Source organism: Homo sapiens, chromosome 1 (assembly GCF_000001405.40).
Source record: "Homo sapiens chromosome 1, GRCh38.p14 Primary Assembly".
Lineage (NCBI taxonomy): Eukaryota > Metazoa > Chordata > Mammalia > Primates > Hominidae > Homo > Homo sapiens.
In genome coordinates, this window is record NC_000001.11 from 200091221 (window position 1) to 200100495 (window position 9275).

Consider the following 9275-nt stretch of genomic DNA (forward strand, 5'->3'; position numbering starts at 1 on the left):
AGAAGAGTGATGCACTCTAACAGTGACTACTATTTATTGAGCTCAAGCCTTAAGTTCTATTCATTTATTAGCTCACTAAACCCTTACAACAAGGGGAGTGGGGAGGGTCAATATTAATTAGAATTTGACTGCAGCCAGAATAAACTAAAGCTCAGGGGGTTTAGTTATTTGCCCGAGTTCACACTGATCTGCTGGCCACTGGTGGAGCCTGTTTCTGTACCAGACCTGTCTGATTTTGCACCTCCTTACCCTTTGCTCTCTTTCTTTTTTTTTTTTTTTTTTGAGACAGAGTCTTGCTCTGTCACCCAGGTGGGAGTGCAGTGGCGTGATCTCGGCTCACTGCAACCTCTACCTCCCAGGTTCAAGCGATTCTCCTGCCTCAGCCTCCTGAGTAGCTGGGACTACAGGTGTACACTACCATGCCCAGCTAATTTTTGTATTTTTAATAGAGATCGGGTTTCACCATGTTGGTGAGGATGGTCTTGATCTCCTGACCTCGTGATCCACTCGCCTCAGCCTCCCGAAGTGCTGGGATTACAGGCGTGAGCCACTGCACCTGGCCCCCTTTGCCATCTTAGTTATTGTTCTCATCCCATATTCCTGTGTCTAACATTTTGGTGTGTGAGTGTGTGTGGAGGACTGATGTGCACATGTGGAGTGGGGAGCATTGGTTTGCTAGAATTTTCTAGAGCTTTTTATTCAAAGTGCGGTACATGAACCACCAGCATTGGTTTCATTAGTCAGCTTGTTAGACATGTAGAATCACAGTCCCCCGAACTGCTGGATCACTGTGTATTTTAACAGGACCCCCAGGTGAACTCTAAGTGTGTTCAAGTTTGAGAAACATGGATCTTGAGCACAGTTGTATCTCTCTGAACTTTTTTGAGAGAATTAAGTGAAGCCATTAGTAGGGTTTCCTGCATAGACACATATTCAACACCTTTAGTAAAAAACAAAAAGCCCGCTTCTTAAAAGAATATGCTTTACTTTGAAAGTTTGCATTTATGCTATCTTGTCTATTTAATGCTATATAATTTCAGACATAATATAGTAACTCTACAAGACCTCCTTCCCTGTATAAAAAGACGCACTATAAGTTTTTGTAGTCATCTTTGAGGTCTGTCTGTAGTGTGCTTTATTAAAAGCGAGCAAATACTGAAGGATCCCATTTAAGTATGTGGTCTGCGGTGGAGTCTAATTTGTACCACTAGGCAAAGGTCACACAGAGGAGCTCGTTAATGCACTTACTCCGGGATGAAATCAATCTCCATACTTCACCATATTGATCTGATAGCTCATTGGCGCTTCCCTCCGTGAACTGGTTAGCTCACGTGTGAATGGAGAGAGATAGATAGCTTTCTGGGCCTGAGAATTCTAGCTGGGGTGCCATCCAGGGCAAAAGGTGGATGTTTTTACATCCTCATTTGGGTGGCCCTTTTGGTTTCTGGTGTTAGGCTCTTGTGCTGGTATATCAGTTAGTCAGAAAAAAAAAAGGTTTTAAAATAAATAAGTTGCTTTTCTACCATGGGTTTATTCTTTTTCTTCTGTAGTTTTTATGAATCATGTGTGCTCAAAAGTATGGATCACATTTATCTGAATACAGGCAGATGACTTGCTTTAAAGTGTAACATTGATATTACTAAAAGACAGGTCTTTTTTTTTTTTTTTTTTTTTTTTTTTTGAGATGGAGTCTCACTCTCTCGCCCAGGCTGGAGTGCAGTGGCACAATCTTGGCTCACTGCAACCTCCGCCTCCCAGGTTCAAGCGATTCTCCTGCCTCAGCCTCCTGAGTAGCTGGGATTACAGGCACATGCCACCACACCCAGCTAATTTTTGTATTTTGTATTTTTAGTACAATTAGACTTGTAGTTTTAGGGATTTCACCATGTTGGTCAGGCTGGTCTTGAACACCTGACCTTGTGATCCACCCATCTCAGCCTCCCAAAGTGCTGGGATTACAGGCATGAGCCACCACACCCGGCCAACATAGGTCATTTCTTAATGAAAAGATAACCTGCTCAGTGCAATCTTCAGGACTCAGGAGTCTCCCCTATGTTCCTTTTTGTCAAAACTCAATGCTATTGATGTATATATGTGGTCATTTAATTGCAGAAACACCAAGGAAGTAGGGCTTGGTGAATCCGGCTCATAAAACACACACATGGGTACTAATTCCTTGAAGAAATGGGCCAAAATAATTCTAGAAATGAGGTAGAAACAAGCCAACAAGCCAAATATTTCCAATTTTTAAAAGATGTATAGATTCCAGATGCAAACTGGATAAAAGCAGACTCAGATCCCTTCTAACTTTGAGACACGGTTTTCCAGAGAAACTATGAATATTGAGAAAACAGCAGCCTCCAAAGCCGCCAAGACTTGATATTTTCATTACGCTTGGTTACAAGCTCGTTGAAAAGTGTTTCCGGTTCATCCTTGAATCTCTTCCAATCTAAGCACAATGCTGTGCACATGAGCAGGTGGCTTTGTAGTCTATAGACTCCTCCTAGACTTCCTTTTCCTAGATTTTAAGTCAAATTTTGCCTCGAGGAAGAGTTTGAAGCTCGAGTCTGAGGCAAGTATCTAGCCCAAACTTTCGCAAAATTGAATTAACCTCATTCTTTGGATGGGTATTTCTAAATTTTTAAAAATTTCTTGGCCGGGCACAGTGGCCCACGCCTGTAATCCCAGCACTTTGGGAGGCTGAGGCGGGCGGATCACGAGGTTAGGAGTTCAAGACCAGCCTGGCCAATATGGTGAAACTCCGTCTCTACTAAAAATACAAAAATAAAAATACAAAAATTTGCTGGTTGTGGTGGCACATGCCTGTAGTCCCAGCTACTCAGGAGGCCGAGGCAGGAGAATCACTTGAACCCGGGAGGCGGAGGTTGCAGTGAACCAAGATCACGCCACTGCACTCCAGCCTGGGCAACAGAGTGAGACGCTGTCTCAAAAAAAAAATTGGTTTTTTTTTTTCTTTTTTTGGAGACAGAGTGTTGATCTGTTGCCCAGGCTGGAGTGCAGTGACGCCATCTCTGTTCACTGCAACCTTTAAGCAAGGGGTTTAAGTGAGTCTCGTGTCTCAGCCTCCAGAATAGCTGGGGTTACAGGCGCGGGCTACCACACCTGCCTGATTTTTGTGTTTTTAGTAGAGATGGAGTTTCACCATGTTGCCCAGGCTGGTCTTGAACTGCTGGACTCAAGCAGTCCATTTTTTGCAACCTCCGAAAGTACTAGGATTACAGATGTGAGCCACCACGCCCAGCCTGGATGGGTATTTCTAAAATACACATCTATTAAATGCCACTTTTTTTTTTTTTTTTTTTTTTTTTTGAGAAGGAGTCTCGCTCTGTCGCCCAGGCTGGAGTGCAGTGGTTCGATCTCGGCTCACTGCAAGCTCTGCCTCCTGGGTTCATGCCATTCTCCTGCCTCAGCCTCCCGAGTAGCTGGGACTACAGGCACCTGCCACCACGCCTGACTTATTTTTTGTATTTTTAGTAGAGACGGGGTTTCGCTGTGCTAGCCAGGATGGTGTCGATCTCCTGACCTTGTGATCTGCCCGCCTCGGCCTCCCAAAGTGCTGGGATTACAGGCGTGAGCCACCGCGCCTGGCCAAATGCCACTTTGAATGTCAAAATATGACTGTTCTTCAGATGAAAAAATAGCCTTTTTAGACACCAGGCACCAAAATAACTTTCAGAAAAAGTAGTGTTCTTCTAGAGTTCTCATAGATAGAAAAGAACATAAAGGAATATGTTAAACATAACAAGAAGACTGGACATATTTGTAAGATTCCAAATCTTAGGATATAATTCTGTCCCCAGCCTTTGTGAAGACAGATGGTCACAATGAGGAAGAGGGTATAGTTTACCCTTCAATCAGGCTCCATCTGACCTCCTTTTTAATAAAAAGAAAAAAAAAAAAAAGATCTCACTGTTTCCCGGGCTGGAGTGCAGTGGTATACTCATAGCTCACTGCATCCTCAAACTCCTATCCTCAAGCAACCCTCCCACATCAGCCTCCTGAGTAGCTGGGACTATAGGCATGTGCCATCATGCCTGGCTGAGCTCTTTTTGAGTAATTGAAATAGCAATGAGATGCCCAGAGTCCTCAGTTTGAACTGCTGTGTTCAGCCTAGTGAGAAATGCATAGGCACTTCAGATAAAGTGGCATGAGACTTCAGGGAACAAATATAGAACAATGCTGCACAAATTCACCTGACCTTGAGCACCTGGCTGGATGTCCATTGGTGAATGTTGTTAGATACTGTCTCCTACGAATGGGTTATGATTACTACTTGGTATCTTCTAAGTAAAAGTCCTTAACCATCACCAAGTAATATATTTTTTTTTTGAGATGGAGTCTCACACTCTCGCCCAGGCTGGAGTGCAGTGGTGCCATCTCAGCTCACTCCAAGCTCCACCTCCTGGGTTCACGCCATCCTCCTGCCTCAGCCTCCCGAGTAGCTGGGACTACAGGCACCCGCCACCATGCCCAGCTAATTTTTTGTATTTTTAGTAGAGACAGGGTTTTACCACGTTAGCCAGGATGGTGTCGATCTCCTGACCTTGTGATCTGCCCGCCTTGGCCTCCCAAAGTGCTGGGATTACAGGTGTGAGCCCCCGCGCCCGGCCAGCAAGTAATATTTTTTAAAAAATTTTTTGGCAGTGAAAAGTCTAATGAGACATAAAGAAATAATAGGAAAAGTACTACTAGATGGGCCTGAAAATGCTTTGGTTCTCTAACTTGTGTGTAATGGCCAACATCATTAAGACAAGGACATGTGACAGACTAATTTTGAAAATTTATTCTCATGTTACTGCATTTTTGTTATTCTAGTTATCAATCTACACCCATACCACAATGCTGCTTTATTTTGTTTGTTTGTTTGTTTGTTTTTGAGGTGGAGTCTGTCACCCAGGCTGGAGTGCACTATCTTAGCTCATGGCAACCTCTGCCTCTGGGGTTCAAGTGATTCTCCTGCCTCAGCCTCCTGAGTAGCCAGGACTACAGGTGTGCGCCACCATGCCTGACTAATTTTTGTATTTTGAATAGAGATGGGGTTTCACCATGTTGGCCAGGCTGGTCTTGAACTCCTGACCTCAGGTGATCTACCTATGTCAGCCTCCCAAAGTGCTGAGATTACAGGCGTGAGCCACTGTGCCTGGCCTGTGCTGCCTTCCTGACACTCAAACACAACAGGGTATGAGTTGTATGATCAGCTATGGAAAACAGACTGTGGTATGTATGTATGACTGATATGTGGTAACAACCCTTCTCTAGGCCTGTATCTGTCTACACAAGCAGAAACTGTTGGTCAGTTCAATTAAAAAATTAACTGATTTAATGAGTTGGCTGAATTACCTTATTGTTTGACATGAGTCAACCAGCCCACTCCAGCAAAACAGCCAACCAACTCAGTCACTCTGTAGAAGCAGCGTGTCATTGAACAACCAAACACACAGTACATCGTGCACAGCATAACGATGCTTCATAAATGATGGACTGCATATATGATGGTGGTCCCAACATATTATAATAATGTATTTTTACTGCCCATTTTCTAGTAACACAAATACTTACCATTATAAGTATTGCAGTGTAGAATAGTAACATGCTGTACAGGTTTGTAGCCCAGGAGCGATAGACTATTCCATATAGCCTAGGTTCATGGTAGGTGCTACCATCTAGGTTTGTGTAGGTTCACTCTCTGCTGTTCACACAAGGATGAAATCACCTAATGATGCATTTCTCAGAACATGTCCCCATCATTAAGCGAAGCATGACCTGCATGCATGAGTAATTATGTGTGTGAGAAGCCATGAGAATACCTCTAGAAACACAATTCTTCTTTCTCTGAAAAATGCTTTCCCTCAAAGAACAGTGCATGCTCATGGAAAATGTAAACGATTTCTTTCTATAAATATCAAACCCATTTTCTCTGTGATTCATATTTCAAATAAAACACACACAAGATCAACACTTAAATTGGGTATTATTTCTTTTTTTAAAATAAACCTTTGTCAGAATATTATTTCTTCTTTTTTTCTTTTTATTGCCACTCCTCCTCTCCAGAATATTATTCCTACTGTGTGAAATCCAAAGGCAATGGGAAGGGATACAGTTCTGTCTCTCTCCCTTCTTACAAGGGAGACAAAAGAACTCCCTTCGTCACTCACCTCTGTTAGAAATGCATTCCTTTAATACAAAGAGTATTTCTCCCATTTTATGATGAGAATAATTGGGAAAAAGAAATTCAATACTTTATCTTTCACTTCTCAGCCACCTTTGGGGAACTTATATTTTGTATATCAGGATGGCTGTGCTATGCATAACTTCTTACAGATCTTGATATGCTATCTTTCATCATTATATTCAGATATAAACCCAATAGTTGTAGAGATTACTAACAGTGAGTAAAGGAAAGGCTATCTAGAAATATGGAAGACATAAAGGGATTGTCTTGGGACTGACCTACAGAGTCCTTGCCTCATGGGGACAGATTCAACAGGGCAATGCTGACGTCTTAGGAAGGGAGTGTGTAGGCGGTGTGTATGTTGGGTGGGAATGGGAAAGGCAGTATAGTATCATAGCCTGCATATTCTTCTCCTTTAATCTAGAATAGGAAGAATATGAAAGTAGAGGTAATAAGAAATATGCCATAAGACACACCCTCTTCAGACAGTGCAAAAGAGCTAGGTGTGGTTTTGCTAAAAATCTAGCTAATGTGATTCTGATTTCAAAATCATTACCTTGCAGCTTGTGTAGAATGTTTTCCCCTGTTTAACTGGCCAGGACAAGGAAACTAAAATATTTGTCAAAACTTGTGCCTTACAATGTTGTAAATGATGTTTCCATGTCCCTCCTTTTGAGATTTAAGCTATCTAGTGGGAGTGGGTGCCCATACTCCACCCTGCCGAGCTGTAAGCAATTGTAAGAGGGGCCACTGACAACTTCACCTCTGAGTCTTCTGGGACTGAGACCCAGAATAAATGCTAGGCCTCAGTTCATCTCCCAAACAGAATCACTTTCTCTTGTTTTTCCCCCAAATCGGAAGGAGTGTCTATCTAGATTTTATGTCCAGATAATTCCAAGGTTCTATCATTTGGTATCTATGGTTTTGTATTTTGTAAACTTCCAAAGGACTTCATTTCCCAAATCACAAATTTCTTTACATTTGAAATAGAGAAATCAAATTATCATTAATGTATTTCTTTGCAGGAAAGAAACTGGGCAATATTATATTTTAAAAAAATAACTTACAGAAAAAAATAGGAAGATTGTTCTTTACTCTTATATGAAAGAGGCATAGTGAAAGAGCACTGGGCTTGGATTCAGAACACCTGGATTCCCATCCTGTTTCTGGCACCTGAGTAGCCTTATATAAACCACAGCCCACCTAGCCTGAGTTTCCTCTTCTATAAAATGATGTAGTTGAACGAAATGTAGCTATCAGATACTTTCAGCATTGATTCAGCAAATATTAATTAAGCACCTGCGGTGAGCCTAGTACCAGGGTGTGATTCAGCATGTAACAGGATGGGGGTGTCCCCAGTCCAGGTAATGAAAGGGTAGACCATTCACAGTGTCAAAGACAGAAAACTAGATAGGACCTATTACTCTTAGCATGCTATGTTTAGGGCACTGGCATAAATATTTCCCACTAAATATTCTACACTATCTAGAAATTTTTAACAAAGCAAAAATTGTTGTTTACCTAGACTTAATCTTTCTGTAGTTTAGGGCCAAACTTCGACTGTTGGAGCTCCATCTTCAATTGCTACTACTTTCTATGAATCCATTTCTGGGAATCTCTGAAGGCATAGACTGACTGTACACTTAGCACTGTGACATTAAGGGGACATTTAAATTGTGTGAAGGGACAAGTCCTCTACTTGTCCCTGGGGAACTGAGCAGAGGAATTCTCCCAGGAGCCTTTGTACCCAGAGAATTCCCATCACTGAACAGTCCTTAGGGACCTCTCCTTTACCTCTGCCCTAATTTCGGTTGTACTTTTGGTGAGTAATATTTAGGCCACTCGAATTCTTTTCTCCTTTCTTTGGCCAACTGCCTGATGGAAGCAGCCAGCCAAAAAGGACCCAAGGACATTTTAGCCTCTATAAGCCTTTTTTTTTTTTTCCTGGCTTTGTAAAGCAACCTATGAAGGAAGAAGTTGCATTAAATGACCTCAAGGGAGCCACGGAGCATGCCCTCTGGAATATCCCTCACCTTCTCCCTTTCTTCTTAATCCTACTATGCCAAGGACCTTCATTGTGCATCTATTTTACAAGCTGGAGGGCAACCAAAATCTTCCTTAATTTATGCCATAATCACTGATATCCAGATGATGGGTCTGCTGCACACCTGGATTTCTTTTATTTTATTTTATTTTTTGAGATGGAATCTTGCTCTGTCGCCCGGGCTGGAGTGCAGTGGCGCTATCTCAGCTCACTGCAACCTCTGCCTCCCAGGTTCAAGTGATTCTCCTGCCTCAGCCTCCCAAATAGCTGGGACTACAGGCACGTGCCACCATGCCCGGCTAATTTTTGTATTTTTAGTAGAGACGGAGTTTCACCGTGTTAGCCAGGATGATCCTGATCTCCTGACCTCGTGATCCACCCACCTCGGCCTCCCAAAGTGCTGAGATTACAGGCATGAGCCACCGCGCCTGGCCACACCTGGAATTCTTTTTTGGCTGATGGCATTGTTGCCTTTAAGGCGGTGTCTGGAAAATGAGAATTACAAACATAACCTCATTATGCTATTAGAAAAATGACCATCATATTCACAACTGCCTTCTTGACATTCCAAGCAACCCAGAGGAAAATATATCAAGCTGAGAAGGATTCTGTTTTTATTACTTGAATATTATCTGCCAGGTTAGACATGTGAGAACATTGCTTTAATTATACATAAGAGATTTCTAAACTGGAGAACAGGAAACAGGTAGTGGTCATAAATGAAACAATACCCAGAAAGAGAAGGCACTGGAAAATATTTCTCATTAATCTACTTTAAAATATTTCTTTTCTAGTTCATGAACATTTTGCATCACCTGAAATATTTTCCTTCGTACTTCATTTAGCATCTTTCATATTTTGCCTTTATTTATTTATTTATTTGGATTTCAGTTTAAGTATTTTTAACAGGATGTCTGCTATGTGGTGTTTTTAATAGGGTGTCTGTTAAGTTTTAGTTCTTTGCCCAAAGTTACCTGGTTAGTGAGAATACCAAGATGGGTGCCCAGGTCTCTGAGCTCCAAAGCTATGCATTTCCTT

The 9275-nt window shown here is 42.0% G+C and overlaps 1 protein-coding gene across 9 annotated transcripts in view; it reads left to right on the forward strand.

The window, feature by feature from the left end:
- Positions 1-9275, forward strand: part of NR5A2 (nuclear receptor subfamily 5 group A member 2) — a 149706-nt gene that overhangs the window by 63511 nt on the left and 76920 nt on the right. The gene's annotated exons all lie outside the window — the stretch shown is intronic.